A 20,879-nucleotide genomic window follows, 5' to 3' on the forward strand; every position below is an offset into this window, starting at 1 on the left:
TAGATAGCCATTTAAATGTTTCTCTCTCCTGCTAACTGTAAGATATGTAAGAACAGAGTCTGTATCTTAATTTTCTTTAGTCCCATACTTACTTACACAGTTCTTGGGATATAGCAGGGATTCAATATATTTCTGTAGATTAAATGATGCATATGAAAACACATCCCAAATCACAGTATTATGCAATTGTTGATTATTACCATCAGACACACTTTCCAAAAATGTCAAATTTAGCTTTCTCATGTTAGAGACATACCGCTTTTTTGCTGTAGTCACCTTAGGTGGTGGACCAGCATAGCTTTTTTTGCCAGGGGTCATCTGAGGACTATCTGGAGGAACTCCCATGGTTTCGATGATGATTCTGACTGAATGTGTTCTACCCAAAAGGGCCAGTCTATCCACACTTAGTGTCATCGTTTGGGCATCTTCTGGAGTTTCTGAGAGCATCTGTTGTTCAACCAAATTTCTGAAAGGAGTTCACACAAGCAGTGAGGCATACTGCTACAGGCTTCACATGAAACAATCTAGTTTGCACAGGCAAGATGAGGAAAAAGGGAGGGCAGCAAGTTTTTATTTTTTTATTTTTATTTTTGACACAGGGTGTTGCTCTGTCACCCAGGCTGGAGTGCAGTGGCACGATCATGGCTTACTGCAGCCTTGACCTCCTGGGCTCAAATGATCCTCCCACCTCAACTTCCCAAGTAGCTGGGACCACAAGCATGGGTCATCACACTTGGCTAATTTTTGTATTTTTTGTAGAGATGAGATATTACTATGTTGCCCAGGCTGGTCTTGAACTCCCGGACTCAAGCAATCCTCCTGCCTCAGCCTCCCAAAGTGCTGGGATTACAGGTGTGAACAACCACACCCAGCCAAGTATCTTGACTCACAAGTTATCAAGGATTGGAAACAGCTTTTATTATCAGAATTCTGGTCCTATAGTACAAGAAATCTCAAAAAATGTAAAAAAAAAATATAATCTAAAGGTTTGAGAGTGTATATTCAGGGTAATTTGAATCTATGCTCCCAGGTAAAAAAAAAATTTAAAAATACTATATAGATATATACACACACACACACACATACATACATATATATATACATACATATATATACACACACTTATACACACACAACATATATACACACACATACATTATACAATACATATGAGTACAGAAACTGAAACTCCAAATTTAGGTTTTTCTAGAAGGGACACAGACCTTATTTCAGTTACCCACTATTCTAATGTAACTACTATTGTCACTTTTGTGTATTCCTTCTCATTTGCTTTCCTTATGCATATTTTCTACACAGTTGTGATCACAGTACACATACAACCTAGAATTCTGCTTTCTTCCTTAACCATTTAAATTATACCTATCTTGGTAGAATCAAAAATATGAAAACGACCATACTGCCAAAAGCAATCTACAAATTCAGTGCAATTCCCATCAAAATACCCTCATCATTCTTCACAGAACTAGGAAAAAAAATGTTAAAATTCATATGGAACCAAAAAAGAGCCCACATAGCCAAAGCAAGATTAAGCAAAAAGAACAAATCTGGAGGCATCACATTACCTGACTTCAAACTATACTATAAGGCCACAGTCACCAAAACAGCATGGTATTGGTATAAAAATAGACACATAGACCAATGGAACAGAATAGAGAATCCAGAAATAAAGCCAAATACTTATAGCCAACTGATCTTCAACAAAGCAAACAAAAACATAAAGTGGTGAAAGGACACCCTATTCAACAAATGGTGCTGGGACAATTGGCAAGCCACATGTAGAAGAATGAAACTGGATGTTCATCTCTCACCTTATAAAACTATCGACTCAAGATGGATCAAGGACTTAAATCTAAGACCTCAAATCATAAAAATTCTAGAAGATAACAATGGAACAACCCTTCTAGACATGGTTTAGACAAAGACTTCATATCCAAGAACCCAAAAGCAAATGCAACAAAAACAAAGATAAATAGATGGGACTTAATTAAACTAAAAAGCTTCTGCACAGCAAAAGAAACAGTCGGCAGAGTAAACAGACAACCCACAGAATGGGAGAAAATCTTCACAATCTATACATCTGACAAAGGACTAATATCCAGAATCTATAAGGAATGCAAACAAATTAGCAAGAAAAAATCAAACAATCCCATCAAAAAGTGGTCTAAGGACATGAATAAACAATTCTCAAAAGAAGATATACAAATGGCCAACAAACGTATGAAAATATGCTCAACATCACTAATGATCAGGGAAATGCAAATCAAAACCACAATGCGATACCACTTTACTCCTGCAAGAATGGCCATAATAAAAAATTAAAAAAAAAAAGAATGTTGGTGAGGATGTGGTGAAAAGGGAACACTATTACACTGCTGGTGGGAATGTAAACTAGTACAACTACCATGGAAAACAGTGTGGACATTCCTTAAAGAACTAAAAGTAGAACTACCATTTGACCCAGCAATCCTACTTCTAGGTATCTACCCAGAGGAAAAGAAGTCACTATATGAAAAAGATACTTGTACTTGCATGCTTATAGCAGCACAATTTGCAATTGCAAAAATATGGAACCAGCCTAAATGCCCATCAATCAATGAATGGATAAAGAAATTGTGGTATACATATATGTGTGTATATATATACACACACACACGTATATATATACACACACATATATACGTGTGTGTATATATACACGTGTATATGTGTATATACACGTGTATATGTATATATACACACGTGTATATATACACACGTGTATGTATATATACATATACACGTGTATATACACATATACACGTATATATGTGTATATACACATATACACGTATATATACACATATACGTGTATATGTATATATACACATATATACGTGTATATGTATATATACGTGTGTGTGTATATATATATGAATATATATATATGAATATATATATGAATATATATATATGAATATATATATATGAATATATATATATGAATATATATATATGAATATATATATATGAATATATATATATGAATATATATATATGAATATATATATATGAATATATATATATGAATATATATATATGAATATATATATATGAGTGAGCTGTGATTGTGCCACTGCACTCCAGCCTGGGCAACATAGTGAGACCCCGTCTCAAAAAAAAAAAAGTAGTCTACCCAAATAATTAGGTGACATCGTCTAAGTCATTTGGCCTCAAATATATATATATATATATATATATATATATGGAATACTACTCAACTATAAAAAGGAAATGAAATAATGGCATTTGCAGCAACCTAGATGGAATTGGAGACCATTTTTCTAAGTGAAGTAACTCAGGAACAGAAAACCAAATATCATATGTTCTCACTCATAAGTGGAAGCAAAGCTATGAGGATGCAAAGGCATAAGAATGATACAATGGACTTTGGAAACTGAGGGCAAGAGTGGGAAGAAGGTGAGGGATAAAAGACTACTAATTGGAGGCCGGGTGTGGTGGCTCACAACTGTAATCCCAGCACTTTGGGAGGCCAAGGTGGGCGGATCACCTGAGGTTGGGAGTTCAAGACCAACCTGACCAACATGGAGAAACGCCGTCTCTACTAAAAATACAAAATTAGTCGGGCATGGGGGCACATGCCTGTAATCCTAGCTACTCGGGAGGCTGAGGCAGAAGAATTGCTTCAATCTGGGAGGTGGAGGTTGCGGTGATCTGAGATCGTGCCATTGCACTCCAGTCTGGGAAACAAGAGCGAAACTCCGTCTCAAAAAAAAAAAAAAAAAGACTACAAATTGGGTACAGTGTCATATTGCTTGGGTGATGGGAGCACCAAAATCTCAGAAATCACCACTAAAGAACTTATTCAGGTAATCAAACACCACCTGTTCCCCAAAACCTATGGAAAACAAATTTAGCCATCTTTTCAGATTATTACATTTTTAAGAATTACAATGTTTACTGAGTTATTGTAATTAATCACTCTGATGGTGCTGGGCAAATGGGTCATTTCACCTTGGGAGATCTTGTGAAAATAACATTCCTTTGTGTTTACCTTTAAATAAACAGTCAGAGCAGCTCACCTATTTCTCTTGCCTGCTGACCTCTTCTTCAGCTTATGATCACTTGACTCCAGAACCTTAGATGATCTGGCAAGAGCTGTTGACTGGCTTATTTTTTTAGAAGGGACGATATCATCCTCTTCACTGAGGAAATCACTGATGCTGGTATCAGATTTCTATGGAGAGGAAGAAACAGAGACACTAAATGACTGCTGCTTTGGGAATTGTAGCTACGAAACATTTCTCTAAAGAAAGCAAGTTCTTCTCTGTACATACATCATTCTCTTAAAGAAAGAACTGACACCAGGGAGATAATCCCATATTTCTCCTGGTTATACAAAAATAATCTGAAGTTCACAAAAATAACCTACAAGTTCAGTTCAAAGCAAATAAAGGAAGGTAGATTCTTCTTTCAAATTCTCAATAATAATAACTATTATTTATTGACTATAGACCATATGTCTGGTATTATGCTTAATGCTACATGTATATTTCTAATATTCACCACATTCCGACAAGGTACCTTTATGTCAGTTTTTACAAGTGAGAAAATCAGAGCTGAAAAAAGTAAGGCAGCTTGTTTATGATCCATAGCTGTAAAGCCAGATTTTGATCTCCATGGGCTTCAAAGCCTGTATTTCTACCATAGTTTGAGGCCAAATGACTTGGACGATGTCACCTAATCATCTGGATAGACTATTTTTTTTTTTTTTTTTTTTGAGACAGGGTCTCACCGTGTTGCCCAGACTGGAGTGCAGTGGCACAATCACAGCTCACTGCAACCCTGACCTCCCTGGGGCTCATGTGATCCTCTTACCTCAGCCTCCCAAGTAGCTGGGACTACAGACATGAGCCACCACACCTGACTAATTTTTGTATTTTTTGTAGAGAGGAAGTTTGGCCATGTTGCTCAGGCAGGTCTTAAACTCCTGGGCTCAAGTGATCTGCCCATCTCAGCCTCCCAAAGTGCTGGAATTACAGGCATGAGCCACCGTACCCAGCCAAGACTACTTTTTGTCACCATTCTATACTACAAATGATTCATTCTGCTTTTAATCTTGCTAAAATGAACTGTTTACTATAGTCACAAATTTTCTTAATGAGAGAACCAATGGCTAAGCCCCTTGCAATTCATTTTTATTTTGAGAAAAGGCAGCTACTGCAATGGACTGATCAGCCCTCTACATCACAAAATGTAAAATAAAGAGAGAAGATGGCATTATAGTTACTGGGTTCCATTTTTAAAAAAAGACATAAAGCTTGCTAATATAATATAAATTCAGGACACAAACCCAAAGTTATTTTAAGTCTATCATTTAAAATTACCCTTTTTTCAGCATGTCAGGGGGTATAATGTGTTGATCTGTGATAGGGGGACAAATTAATTTAAATAAGCATGATAAGAATGTCTTCTTGGAAGCAATACAACTTTTTTTTTTTTTTTTTTGAGATGGAGTCTCAGTCTGTTGCCCAGGCTGGAGTGCAGTGGCGCAATCTCCGCTCACTGCAACCTCTGCCTCCCAGGTTCCAGTGATTCTCATGCCTCAGTCTCCCAAGTAGCTGGGACTAAAGGAATGTGCCACCATATCTGGCTAATTTTTGTATATTTAGTAGAGACAGGGTTTCACCATGTTGTCCAGGCTGGTCTCGAACTCCTGACCTTAAGTGATCTGCCCACTTTGGCCTCCTGAAGTGCTGGGATTACAGGCATGAGCCACCACACCACCACAATACAACTTTTAAAAGGCAAAATTACAAAGATTTTTGCCTTTAAGTTATCCTTTGAGTGGCAGCTTTTAAAAATGGTTATTGACTAGTGCAACTGAAAAATAAATTTTAAATTTTATATAATGTCAACTAATTTAAGCAGTGGCATGTGGCTACTAGCTACATTGAACAGCATGATTGTAAGATTACTTCCTTTTTTTTTTTTAATTATACTTTAAGTTCTAGGGTACATGTGCACAACGTGCAGGTTTGTTACATATGTATACATGTGCCATGTTGGTTTGTGGCACCCATCAACTCATCATTTACATTAGGTATTCCTCCTAATGCTATCCTTCCCCCAGCCCCCAACCACCCTACAGGCCCTGGTGTGTGATGTTCCCCGCCCCGTGTCTAAGTGAACTCATTGTTCAATTCCCACCTATGAGTGAGAACAGGCGGTGTTTGGTTTTCTGTCCTTGTGATAGCTTGCTCAGAATGATGGTTTCCAGCTGCATCCATGTCCCTGCAAAGGACATGACCTCATCCTTTTTTATGGCTGCATAGTATTCCACGGTGTATATGTGCCACATTTTCTTAATCCAGTCTATCACTGATGGACATTTGGGTTGGTTCCAAGGCTTTGCTATTGTGAATAGTGCCGCAATAAACATATGTGTGCATGTGTCTTTATGGTAGCATGATTTATAATCCTTTGGGTATACACCCAGTCATAGGATTGCTGGGTCAAATGGTAATTCTAGTTCTAGATCCTTGAGGAATTGCCACATTGCCTTCCACAATGGTTGAACTACTTTACATTCCCACTAACAGTGTAAAAGCATTCCTATTTCTCCACATCCTCTCCTTCAAGAATGAAGTTTATCAGATGGCTAAGAGCATTTCAACATTCAAAGTAGAAGGATTAGTACCAGCAAAAAATAGGGAGATACAAGAGCTAAGGCCAGGTGCAGTGGCTCATGCCTGTAATTTCAACCCTTTGGGAGGCCAAGGCAGGAGAATTGCTTGAGCCAGGAGTTTGAGACCAACTTGGACAACATAGTGAGACCCTGTCTCTACAGAAAAAAAAAAAAAAGAGCTAAAATGTTTCAGGAGTGGCAAGTGGCTTGAGACTCCAGTATGGCTGGAGACTCCAGTGGGTAAAGGGTATAAGTGGGAGATGAAGTTAGAGAGGTCAGTCAGGGTCAGATTCTAACACCATGCTCAAGGCTGATGACACACTGTGGTCTAGTAGAAAAACATACAGGCTTTTTGTCAGATAGACTACGGTGAGAATTCCAGTTCTGCCACTTAATTATTTGTACTTAACCTCTTTAAGCTTTTGTTTCATGCTATGTAAAAGAGAGATAATACTATCTCATGCGGCTGGTAAAAGAATTAAATAAGACAGAGCTGGACATGATGGCTCACACCTGTAATCCCAGCACTTTGGGAGGCTGAGGTGCGCGGACCACTTGAAGTCAGGAGTTCAAAACCAGCCTGGCCAACATGGTGAAGGCCTGTCTCTAATAAAAATGCAAAAATTAGCCAGGTGCAGTGGCATGTGCCTGTAATCCCAGCTACTCGGGAGGCTGAGGCAAGAGAATGGCTTGAACCTGGGAGGTGGAGGTTGCGGTGAGCCGAGATCATGCCTCTGCACTCCAGACTGGGTGACAGAATGAGAGACTCCGTCTCAAAAAAAAAAAAAAAAAAAAAGAATTAAACAAAATAATGAATTAAAAACAGTATTTAGTGTTCTATTAGTTTCAGCCATAAAAACACAAAACAAACAACCCCCCCAAGTATTTAATAAATGACAGATAAGATGTGAAGTCCCTAGCACACAGAAAATGGGTAATAAATGTGTAATAAATATTTCCTCTTTATCCTATAGGGAACACAGTATCAGTGATGACTGTGAAGGTGGGAAGTCATGAAATCCTAACAGTTCCTAATGTCTTTCCCGTCCACCACCTCCTGTCCAATTCCACTGCAGGTACTCTCATTCAGGCATTCTGTCTCATGCTTCCCGTAGCCCAGTGGCTTCCTATCTGCTTCTCGTTATTCCCTCTTCAGTCTGCCCCACTGTAGGGTTGCCAGACACAGATTCCTAGAACACTCTTGTGATATGTGATTTCCTCTTCACCTGACATGAAAAGCCTTTCACAGATTGGCTGCAATGTGCCAGCCTGCCTTATCAACTCCTTTTCCACACAAATTCTCATCTAGTCAATTGGGTCCCTTGTAGCGCAAAAATGTGTTTTTCTGCACAGGTCATTCTTTCTACGCCCATTTTGTATCTTTTCTCTGCTTCTCAAAACACTATCTTTCAATCTCAGTTAAAACCCTTTATTCTTCATTATGGTTTTTCCCCACAATCTCATGTAAAAGTTTTCCCTGCTTCTTCCAAACTGTGGTAGCCCTCACTGGCTTACTACTGGGCTGATATAAACTACCTTGTATTTCAGTATCTTTTTTTGACCTGGAGAAAAGGAAAATCAGGAGTATGAACCTTCACACATATAAATAACTACTTGTGGAACAGGGATTGGACATAGTATGTATAGATTCTAGAAGATGCTAAGCCAATGAAAAGAGCATAAGGCTTGATAGAAAAAAGAACTTTGAAAAAACCAGAGCTGCCAGAAAAGAGAATCCCTGTCTTACAGGCCAGAAGAGTTTTGTCTCCTGTGAGTAAGAAGTGTTTTTGGAATATTTTTAACAGATACCAGTTAAGGATGGTTCTGAGGGTATAACTACATCAGCTCTTCCTTATAAAAGCTCTAAGGAAACCATAAAATATATTAATTAAACCATAGGCTTTGGACTCAGGCAAATGTGAATTTGAATTCTGGCTCTAATACTTATTTGCTATATGTTCTTGCACAAAATATTCAAATCCTACTAGGCCTGTCTCAACATCTGTAAAATGAAGATAATACTTTCCTCTTGAGGTTGTCATTAAAATTAAGTAAGGTAAGTTATGTAAAATGCATAGCTGTCATGCCTGCAGCTACTAATATTATTAATACATTTGTTCTCTAATTCTCAATGCTTCAGGTTCAGTGACTTACAGGTGCTGTATAAAATAAATTCTCCAGAAGACTCTGGTCATACTGAGGGTCATTCAGCTCACTGATGCAATACACATCACTCCCAGGAGATGGGGAATCTGGAGGAGAGCCTAGCCCATCCCAGAAATTGCCTTGGGATAATTCAGCACTGCAGAGATAAGAAAACAAAGCAGAAGAATTTTAATAGAAGTTTCAGCTGAACTATTCTCTCTTTAGTGAAACTTTCTGAGGTTCTAAATGTGGAAGGAGATATGTTAAACAAAAGACTCACATTAAACAAAAGACTACTGAATAAATATTTCCCAATTATACTACCCCTCCTCTGGGATGCTAACAACCAGTATTCAGAAACACACTACTGACACTGATTGTGATCTCATTCATGTATTCAACAAACATTTATTGGTCACTTATTATGTGCTAGGTCCTGGAAGATATAGAGGTGGCTAAGCTAACACAATCTGTACTCTTGTATTATTTATAGTCTGATAGGGAGAAAAAAGGGTATAATTCAATGAGTTAAATATTATATATCGATTTTGCAAAAAATTCACAGATACACCCACTTCCAATAAACAAAAATACGTGTATTTAGGACTAATTATGGTGATATTAGTTCTATATCGAATACAAAAAATGAATAAAACACAGTTTACAAACTAATAGGAAGATAAGCATATAAGTAACTATAAACTCAGAATTTTGAAGGAACAAATACTCCTTTTTTTTTTGAAATCCCACGCTGGTATCTTTTTTTTTTTTTTTTTTGAGGTGGAGTTTTGCTCTTATTGCCCAGGCTGGAGTGCCATGGCATGATCTAGGCTCACTGCAACCTCTGCCTCCTGGGTTCAAGTGATTCTCCTGCCTTAGCTTCCCTAGTAGCTGGGATTATAGGTGCCTGCCACCATGCCTGGCTAATTTTTGTATTTTTAGAGATGGGGTTTCACCATGTTGGCCAGGCTGGTCTCTAACTCCTTAGGTGATCCACCCACCTTGGCCTCCCAAAGTGCTGGGATTACTGGTCCCTTTTTTGATAGCAATTTTTACTTTCTAACTTTCTTTCAGGTCCTTGTATAAATTCCATATTTTCCCTCAAAGTTTAGGCTCCTTGAGGGCAAAGTATGCATATATTTCTGTTTCTCCTACAGTAATTAACATTTAATAAGCACCTGTTAGTGAACTTAATGATTTCTTAATGAACATGATGCCAGGTACTGTAATACACATTTTATTTATTATTTCTTTCCATGTTGCTTCCTTTCAAGCTAGCTGCTATACTTTTTTCCTTAATTTCTCAAGAAAATAGTATATAATCACTACCTTCAAATTAGACAGTGTTCTTATATTATTTTGAACAAGCAGATAGTTAACATTCCCTTCCTCACCTTTCCTTAGGCTACAGCAGGGTTTCTCAATCTCAGCCCTGCTGACATGTTGGGTCAGACAATTCTTTATCTTTGGGACTGTCCTATGCATTTCAGATCCCTGGCCTCCACTTACCAGATGCCAGTAGCACGTTCCCAGTTGTGACAACCGAGAAATGTCTCCAGACACTGTAAATGTCTCATGGGGTTGGGGTGGGGAAAAATCACCCCCTCCTTGAAAACCATCAATCTATAGTAACTCTCAAAGGTCAGAACAGCTTCCTAACTGCCATAATCCAACTAACAACTTCCCAGTCGACATGGCCTCTCTGCAGCTTCTGCAGCCCAGGAGTTTGAGACCTACTTCATTTTGAAACTTTACTTTTTGTTCTTTTATATAACTGTATTATTTGTCACATATACACTCCCCTTTGTATACCCTTAAAGTTATGAAAATTTTTCCAGTTGCTTGTTATTCCCCACTTTGTACACCCTTAAAAGTTATGAAGACTTTTCCACTTTTTACTCTTTTTTGAAATTAATATTTATTTGAATTTATTCACCTGTCTATGATATACTAAAAGGGCTAAAATTTGCCTGTGTTCCTTGGCCATAAAATAAGCCTATTCTCATGACTATCCTTTTCTTTTTCTTCTTAGACATAATTTTAAATAAAAGAATACACATACCTATTTTGAAAGTCAAATACGACTACAAGGCTTATAATAAAAAACAGTAGCTGACTGACTCCTCAGAGGTGATCACTTTCAATTCCCTTGGATGCTTCTTCTGGTATTTACCTTCATATTTCTCTTTTTAAAAATTGTATTAGAGACATGGTATTGCTTTATTGCCCAGCCTGGAGTGCACTGGTGTGATCATAGCTCACTGAAGCCTCGAACTCCTGGGCTCAAGGGTTCCTCCTGTCTCAGCCTCCCTAGTAGTAGCTAGGATTACAGGTGCACACCAATACACTCGGCTAATTAAAAATTTTTGTAGAGACTGGGCCTCATTATGTTGCCCAGGCTGGTCTTGAACTAAACGATCTGACATAGCCTCCCAAAATACTGGAATTACAGGTGTGAGCCCCCATGCCTGGCTTTACCTCTATATTTTGAAGTGACACATTAATATACTGTTATTTTCTGATTTTTCACTTTTCTGTATGATCTATGAACTTCCTATTATGAAAAATGAAGGACCCACTCTCTTATACCATTACACTTGAACCACACATTTCCCTTTTACCCATCTTCTCTATTTAGTTATATTACAAATTTTTTGGTTAAATTAATTTTCAGGGTTAATATTGTATCAGAGCCAAGTACAGTATAATTTATTGCACCTTTTTTCTTATACAACTAATTATCCCTGGTATAAATTAACTGCCTTTTCATTTGCTTAGTTTTCTTTGACTCTATTACTACTTTACGAGTGAACTCTTCAAGAGAATTGAAAATTTCCTTTGAGAGAACTTAAAATTTGGTCAATATATGTTCCATTCCCCTCCACCTCTGCACTCCTTAGAAACATCCCTACTGAAGTCAGGGATGCCCCAATATGGACTGTTTGCTCTCTCTCTATGACATATACCCGAAATCTCCTTCTATCCCTCTTCTGTGTTGTAGCCCCTATTTCTTAGACTATATGTCTTACTCTTTCTTCCTAAAATAAATGTTCAGTAGAAGACATTTTCCTGTGGTTTTCTGAGGAATAGTGCAAGACAGGTAAACTTCTGAGACTATGGATAAATAAAGTTATTTTTACTCTACCCTCACACTTGATTAATAGTTTGATTAGGAGTGGAATTTTAGGTTGAAAATAATTTTACTTCAGAATCTTAAGACATTTCTGCACTGAATTCCAAGGAACTGGTAGAAAATCTGATGTCATTCCAATTCCTGATACTGTATATGTGACCTTTATTCTTTCTCCCTCTCTGGAAGCTTTTAATATGGTCTCTCAGTATTTTAAAATTTCATAATTATGTGTCTTGGTGTATCTTTTTTCATTCACTGTTCTGAGTTCTTGATCTTTCTTTTTCCATAAACAGCTTTATTGAGATATAATTCACATACCATACAATCTTCCCATTTAAAGTGAGCAATTTGGTCAGACATGGTGCTCACGCCTGTAATCCCAGCACTTTGGGAGGCCGAGGCCGGCGGAAGACTTGAGGTCAGGAGTTCAAGACCAGCCTGGCCAACACGGTGAAACCCCATCTCTACTAAAGATACAAAAAATTAGCTGGGCATGGTGGCATGCGCCTGCAATCCCAGCTACTCGGGAAGCTGAGGCAGGAGAATCGCTTGAACCCAGAAAGTGGAGGTTGCAGTTAGCTGAGGTTGCGCCACTGCACTCCAGCCTGGGTGACAAAGCAAAACTCTGTCTCAAAAAAATAAAAATAAAAAGACTAAATAAATAAAGTGAGCAATTCAATAGTTTTTAGTATGTTCATAAATGTGACCAACCATCACCACTCAATTTTAAAACATTTTCATCATCTCAAAAAGAAACTCCATAACCTTCAGCTATCACTACCCTACCCATCATCACTCCCAGCCCTAAGGAACTATTAATCTATTTTCTGTTTCTATAGATTTGCCTATTTGGACATTTCATCTAAATGAAATAAAAGTATATATATTTGTTTGTGACTGGCTTCTTTTTATCTGAGACAAGGTCTTGCTCTACAACCCAGGCTGGAGTACAGTGTTGCAATCACAGCTTACTGCAGCCTCAACCTCCCAGTCTCAACTGATCCTCCTACCTCAGCCTTCTGAGTAGGCAGGACCACAGGCATACGCCACCACACCAGGCTAATTTTTTACTTTTTGTAGAGATGGGGTCTCCCCCTGTTGCCCAGGCTGGTCTTGAACTCCTGAGCTAAAGCGATTCTCCCAACTCGGCCTGCCAGATCACAGGTGTGAGCTACCACACTGCGCCCGGCCTGGCTTCTTTCAATTAGCATGTTTTTAAGGTTCATCCATGCTGTAGCATGTAGCAGTACTTCACCTTGATGGCCAAAGGTGAAAACACTACTCTACTGTATGGATACTCCAGATTTCTTAATCCATTCATCAGCTGATAGACATTTAGGTTGTTTCAATATTGGGGTTGCTTAATTTTTTTTTTTTTTTGCATGTGACTATCCAGTTGAATAATGCTGGTATGAACATTCATGTACACATTTTTACATAGATGTATGTTGTAGTTTCCCTTGGGTATATAGCTAGGAGTTGAATTGCTGGGTCACATGGTAAACATTTGTTTAAAAATTTTATTGTTTTCTGTCATATGGTAAATCTATAGGTACGAGTTTGAGGAGTGGACAGACTATTTTCCAAAGTAGCTTCATCATTTTACATTCCTGCCAGCAGTGTACCAGGGTTTCAAATTCTCCACATCCTCATTAATGCATAGACTATTTGACTTTAGTGGGTGTGAAGTAGTATCTCATTGTCTTGATTTCCCGATAACAAATGGTGTCAAGCATCTTTTCATGTGTATATTGGCTTTTTTTTTTTTTGAGACGGAGTCTCACTCTGTCGCCCAGGCTGGAGTGTAGTGGCGCGATCTCGGCTCACTGCAAGCTCCGCCTCCTGGGTTCATGCCATTCTCCTGCCTCAGCCTCCTTAGTAGCTAGGACTACAGGCGCCTGCTACCACACCTGGCTAATTTTTTTGTGTTTTCAGTAGAGATGGGGTTTCACTGTGTTAGCCAGGATGGTCTCGATCTCCTGACCTCGTGATCCGCCTGCCTCGGCCTCCCAAAGTGCCGGGATCACAGGCGTGAGCCACCACGCCCAGCCATATTGGCTATCTTAATATATTTTTTGGACAAATGTTTATTCAGATCCATTGCCCATATTTTTAATTGGATTATTTGTTCCTTAATTATTAAGTCATATAAGTTATTTATATGTTCTATATATAAGTCCTGTATCAGATGTAAGATTTGTAAATATTTTTTCCCTTTCTGTGGTGTCTTCTCACTTTCATAGTGTCCTTTGAAGCACATACGTTTTTAATTTTGATGGAATCCAATTTATGTATCTTTTCTTGTTTGTGCTTTTGGTGTCATATCTAAGAATCATTTCCCAAATTCAAGGTCACAGATTTACCTTTATGTTTTCTCTAAGAGTTTTATAGTTTTAGCTCTTCCATTTAGCTGTTTGATACATTTTATTTATTTATTTATTTATTTATTTTTTATTGATCATTCTTGGGTGTTTCTCGCAGAGGGGGATTTGGCAGGGTCATAGGACAATAGTGGAGGGAAGGTCAGCAGATAAACAAGTGAACAAAGGTCTCTGGTTTTCCTAGGCAGAGGACCCTGCGGCCTTCCGCAGTGTTTGTGTCCCTGGGTACTTGAGATTAGGGAGTGGTGATGACTCTTAACGAGCATGCTGCCTTCAAGCATCTGTTTAACAAAGCACATCTTGCACCGCCCTTAATCCATTCAACCCTGAGTGGACACAGCACATGTTTCAGAGAGCACAGGGTTGGGGATAAGGTCATAGATCAACAGGATCCCAAGGCAGAAGAATTTTTCGTAGTACAGAACAAAATGAAAAGTCTCCCATGTCTACTTCTTTCTACACAGACACAGCAACCATCCGATTTCTCAATCTTTTCCCCACCTTTCCCCCTTTCCTATTCCACAAAACCGCCATTGTCATCATGGCCCGTTCTCAATGAGCTGTTGGGTACACCTCCCAGACAGGGTGGTGGCCGGGCAGAGGGGCTCCTCACTTCCCAGTAGGGGCGGCCGGGCAGAGGCGCCCCTCACCTCCCGGACGGGGCGGCTGGCCGGGCGGGGAGCTGACCCCTCACCTCCCTCCGGGACGGGGTGGCTGCCGGGCGGAGACGCTCCTCACTTCCCAGACGGGGTGGCTGCTGGGCGGAGGGGCTCCTCACTTCTCAGACGGGGCGGCTGCTGGGCGGAGGGGCTCCTCACTTCTCAGATGGGGTGGCTGCCGGGCAGAGGTCTCCTCATTTCTCAGACGGGGCGGCTGGGCAGAGACGGTCCTCACCTCCCAGACGGGGTCGCGGCCGGGCAGAGGCGCTCCTCACATCCCAGACGGGGCGGCGGGGCAGAGGCGCTCCCCACATCTCAGACGATGGGTGGCCGGGCAGAGACACTCCTCACTTCCTAGATGGGATGGCGGCCGGGAAGAGGCGCTCCTCACTTCCTAGATGGGATGGCGGGCGGGCAGAGACGCTCCTCACTTTCCAGACTGGGCAGCCAGGCAGAGGGGATCCTCACATCCCAGACGATGGGCGGCCAGGCAGAGACGCTCCTCACTTCCCAGACGGGGTGGCGGCCGGGCAGAGGCTGCAATCTCGGCACTTTGGGAGGCCAAGGCAGGCGGCTGGGAGGTGGAGGTTGTAGCGAGCCGATATCACGCCACTGCACTCCAGCCTGGGCACCATTGAGCACTGCGTGAACGAGACTCCGTCTGCAATCCCGGCACCTCGTGAGGCCGAGGCTGGCGGATCACTCGCGGTTAGGAGCTGCAGACCAGCCGGCCAACACAGAGAAACCCCATCTCCACCAAAAAAATACGAAAACCAGTCAGGCGTGGCGGCGCGCGCCTGCAATCGCAGGCACTCGGCAGGCTGAGGCAGGAGAATCAGCAGGGAGGTTGCAGTGAGCCGAGATGGCAGCAGTACAGTCCAGCTTCAGCTCGGCATCAGAGGGAGACCGTGGAAAGAGAGGGAGACGGAGACCGTGGGGAGAGGGAGAGGGAGAGGGAGACCGTGGGGAGGGGGAGAGGGAGAGGGAGAGGGAGAGGGGAGAGGGGAGAGGGGAGAGGGGCTGTTTGATCCATTTTGAGTTAATTTTTGTACATGGTGTGAGATAAGGGTCCAACTTTTTTTTTTTTTTTTTAGAAACAGGTCTCGCTTTGTCGCTGAAGCTGGAATACGGTGGTGTAATCCTAGCTCATTGTATCCTTGAACTCCTGGGCTCAAGTAATCCTCCTGCCTCAGTCTCCTGAGTAGCTAGGACTACAGTCATATGCCACCATACCTAGCTAATCTTTTTTATTTTTATTTTTTGTAGAGATGGGGGTTTCACTATGTAGTCCAGGCTGGTCTCAAACTCCTGGCCTCAAATGACCCTACTGCCTCAGCCTCCCAAAATGTTGGGATTACACCATGAGCCACCGTGCCTGGTCCCAACTTCTTTTTTTCTGCATGGGGCTATCCAGTTGTTCCAGCACCATTTGTTGAAAATACTATTTGTTGCCCCATTGATTGGTCTTCACAGCCTTGTCTAACTCATATTAGTTGACCACAGACAGATGGGTTTTTTTCTAAACTATCAACTCTATTCCATTGATTTATATGTCTATCCTTATGCCAGTATCACACTGACTTGATTAGTGTTGTTCTGTAGTAAGCTTTAAAATTGGAAAGTGTGAGTCCTACTTTCTTTTTTTTCAAGATTGTTTTGGCTGTTCTGGGTCCCCTGCAATTTCCTATGAATTTGAGAAACAGCTTGTCAATTTCCACAAAGAAGTCAGCTGGGATTCTGATATTGTGTTGAAAGATAAACATAGGATTTTTTCCATGTATTTAAATCTTCTTTATTTCAACAATGTTTTATAGTTTTTGATTTTTTATTTTTTTGAGACAAGATCTCACTATGTCACCCAGACTGGAGTGTAGTAATCATGGCTCACTGTTGCTCAAGGGATTCTCCTGCCTCAGCCTCCCAAGTAGCTGGGACTACAAGCGTGTGCCATCATGACTGGCTGTTTTTCTGCATCTCTTGAGATAATCATGTGGTTTTTGTTTTTTATTCTATTGATATGGTGAGGCCAGGTGCGGTGGCTCACGCCTGTAATCCCAGCTACTTGGGAGGCTAGGGCAGGAGAATCACTTGAACCCAGGAGGCAGAGGTTGCAGTAAGCCGAGATCAAGCCATTACACTCTAGCCTAGGTGATACAGTGAGACTCGGTCTCAAAAAAAAAAAAAAACTATCTATCTGTCTATCTCTCTCTCTTTATAGATACAGATATAGATAATGGTGGATCACATATATTGAATTTCAGGTGTCAAACTAACTCTCATTCCTGGAATAAATCCTGCTTGGTCATAGTATAAAATTATTTTTATATGTTGCTGGGTTCGGTTTGCAAGTATTTTCTGGAGTATGTTGTGTTGTTACTTCCCTGTAATAGAAATCTAAACTTCAGATCAAACTAATTGGAGGTTTTGTTTTTCTTTCTTTTTTTTTTTGAGATGGAGTCTTACTCCTTCTATCATCCAGGCCAGAGTGCAGTAGCATGTTCTCGGCTCATTGCAACCTCTGCCTCCAGGTTTCAAGCAATTCTCCTGCCTCAGCCTCCTGAGTAGCTGCACCACCACGCCTGGCTCATTTTTGTACTGTTAGTAGAGACAGGGTTTCACCCTGTTGGCCAGGCTGGTCTCGAACTCCTGAACTCTGGTGATCCGCCCACCTTGGCCTCCCAAAGTGCTGGGATTATAGGCGTGAGCTTTTGGAGCCTTTGAAACACATGTTCTCCCATAACCTTTAAAACTTCGGCACATATTGCTTTTAACCACTATGCCCTATTAACTTTCCAAGACATGAATGTAGACAGTATCTTTTATTCAAGAGACAATAAATAGATGAGTCTGGTTGGAGGGCACATGTTATTCACAATGTTAACATAAACAGCTACCAACAGTAAAAATACTATGTGTTGGCCAGGCACTGTGGCTCATGCTTGTAATCCCAGCACTTTGGGAGGCTGAAGCGAGTGGATCACTTGAGGTCAAGAGTTCGAGACCAGCCTGGACAACAAGGTGAAACCCCGTCGCTACTAAAAATACAAAAATTAGCCAAAAGTGGTACTGCATGCCTGCAGAACCAGCTACTTGGGAGGCAGAGGCAGGATAATTGCTTGAACCCAGGAGGAGGAGGTTGCAGTGAGCTGAGACTGTACCATGGCACTCCAGCCTGGGCAACAGAGTGAGACTCCGTCTCAAAAAAACAAAAAACAAAAAAAAACCCCGCAAAATATTATGTGTCAAGCATTGTGTTACTCCTCTATATACATCATTTTTAATCCTTACAACAATTTTGCAAAGTTAGGTACAATTCCAATTTTACCAATGCCTCTGAAGTTCAGAGATACCTGCTTAAGGCCACAAAGCTAATTAGAGATGAACCTCGAATTTCCACTTGTATCTGTTTAAAATCCATGCTCTTTTCATCATACCATGTTAACACTGGTATTGGGGAAAGAGTTGGGAGATAAGAACGGTAAGGTAGAATGGGATCATTCTGTAAGTGAAGCCAAAAGTAAAGGGCTAAAGTATGGAGTTTTATTTAGTAGGCAATAGTGATAGTTTAAGGAATAGGGAAGGGCTTGGTTAGTCTAAGGACATGTTACTTTAGGAAGATGAATCTGATAACAATGCATACTATGAATTGGAGGAAGAGTTTAAAAGGAAGAAAGCCAGTTAATAGTGCTTACCTGCCTAATAGCAGCTGTATAGCTCTGGTATCAGCTTTTGTGTCATGTCTCCAAAATGTATTCTCAGTTGAAGGGAGGAGGTGATCTTCAATGTGGTCTTTAAACCGATTCCTAGAAAAGGCTCTGATCCTAAGGTGTGGAAAAATACTTTCTCACTGAGTGGCTAACAGATGGAAAAAATCTAAATCATAATCACTTCGTACATGCAGCTGGTCTGACTCAGAAAATTTAACATACTTTAGACTTAACTGCCTTAAATAAAACTTTACACTTTGCAAAGCTCTTTCCTACAGTAGAATCCCATCTCATTTCTGTGAGGTAGGGAGAGAATATCCCCATTTTACATCCAAGGATACCAGTTCGGAGACAGTAAAGAATTTACCCATTTACACATGCTGCCAGTACCAGTGCTAGGATAAGATTTTTAGTATCTTAACTCCTAGTGTAGGCTTCTTTCCCACCACATCAGGAATTATTTGATAAGCATTTCCAAGATTACCTAGTCCATAACTTGACAAAAAACACAGGTTAACAACTATTAAGAAATGAACTGTTAAGGTTCTGTCTATCCTGTAACTTACTGTGTTGATGCTCTAAGAGAATCTTCATTAATAGGAGGATGAACTTGGTCCAACAACATGCTGGTCTCTGGGCTTGATTTCATTGCAGAAATCACCATGGCATTACGCAGTTTATTGCCTTGTTCTAACAGAGCTGAAGAGGGTAAATGCAGAAAACAGAAAAATCCAAAATGCAGCAGAAACATTTGGAATATTCAGTGCATTTCCTTCTATCAGAGGACTCACTAGTGTGTACTGTAATAGTTTGCTCATCTGCCTTCCCCATTAGCTTGAGAATTCCTTGAGGACATTTACGCAAAAGAGATGTTTACTGAGTTTCTACTGTGCACTGTTTTAGATGCTGGCATTGTAACAATGAATGAAGTCTCCATTCCGGAGACTCACCTCTTGTGGGGGTTGTTATATCCATATACTGGCTCTTCCAACTGGTGCTTGTACCTAATAAGGTTAGTAATGTTTATATATTGTTTTTGTATCCAGATATCAAATTTATACTTCTATGGATGAAGAAAAGAGTGCTAAAAAGCTTCCATGACTCACACAGCAGGTTAATGGAAAAGTCAGGATAAAACCTGACTTTTCCGACTTTCTGATAGGTAAAATTTACCCCATCCCTTAAGGGGTCCCACAACAATAGCAGCAACACAAATCAGAGAATACACTTATGGAATGTTTACCACATGCGAGGCACTATTCTAAGTATTTTAACGTGTATTACTCATTTAATCCTCCCAACAGTCCTCTGAGATATGTACTATGACTACTTTTGTTTTCCAGATAAAAAATTGAGGCAGAGAGTAGGTAACTTGACCAAGTTGTACACGCAATACATCTATAACCAGATGATTCCACATCCTATGCTTTTAATTGCTATACTATCTATGACCCTACTTAGTTCTTAGGCTTCTTTTTAAAAGCTGAGTACTAGCTGGGCATGGCAGCATGTGCCCATGGTCCCAGCTACTTGGGAGGCTGAGGCAGGAGGACTGCTTAAGTCAAGAAGACTGCTTGAGTCTAGGAGTTTGAGGTGATAGTGTGCTATAACCACACTTATGAATAGTCACAGTGTTCCAGCCTGGGCAACATAGTGAGATTCTGTTTCTAAATAAAAACAAATAAAATAAAAAAGCTCAGGCCCAATAGTATTGTTCCAACAGATACAGGAGGTATTATTATTTTCTTGAGGTTCCACAGGTGCTTAGAAAGTGCCCAACTCCTAGTCTAATTTTATAATTTCTAAAAATAAAATATGATGGTTAGGCCAAGAAAAAAAACAAGTCAAATATATCCATAGTCTTACTCATTATTTACATATGTTTAGAGACAGAGTCTTGCTCTGTTGCCCTAGCTGGAATGCAGTGGTACAATCAAGTTCGCTACAGCCTCGAACTTCCAGGCTCAAGCAATCCTCCCATCTCAGTCTCCCAAGTAGCTAGACTATAGGTGCATACCACCATGCCTGGCTTATTTTTTATTTTTTTGTACAGATGGTATCTTGCTATGTTGCCCAGGCTGGTCTTGAACTATTGGCCTCAAGCTATCTTCCTGCCCCGGCCTCCCAAAGTCCATAAACATCAAAACA

The 20,879-nt window shown here is 40.3% G+C and overlaps 1 protein-coding gene across 2 annotated transcripts in view; it reads right to left on the bottom strand.

Annotated features, from left to right (window-relative positions):
- C2CD3 (C2 domain containing 3 centriole elongation regulator) overlaps positions 1 to 20,879 on the bottom strand; it is a 158,285-nt gene that overhangs the window by 101,410 nt on the left and 35,996 nt on the right. For both annotated transcript variants that reach the window (NM_001286577.2, NM_015531.6), the window contains exons 6-10: positions 19,298 to 19,430; positions 18,717 to 18,845; positions 8,861 to 9,008; positions 4,101 to 4,255; positions 257 to 466 (exon numbers count right to left, since the gene is read on the bottom strand). In NM_001286577.2, the coding sequence (NP_001273506.1) occupies positions 257 to 466; positions 4,101 to 4,255; positions 8,861 to 9,008; positions 18,717 to 18,845; positions 19,298 to 19,430 (775 nt within the window). The remainder of the gene's footprint in view (positions 1 to 256; positions 467 to 4,100; positions 4,256 to 8,860; positions 9,009 to 18,716; positions 18,846 to 19,297; positions 19,431 to 20,879) is intronic.

This window comes from Homo sapiens, chromosome 11 (genome assembly GCF_000001405.40).
Source record: "Homo sapiens chromosome 11, GRCh38.p14 Primary Assembly".
In the NCBI taxonomy this organism is placed as follows: Eukaryota; Metazoa; Chordata; class Mammalia; order Primates; family Hominidae; genus Homo; species Homo sapiens.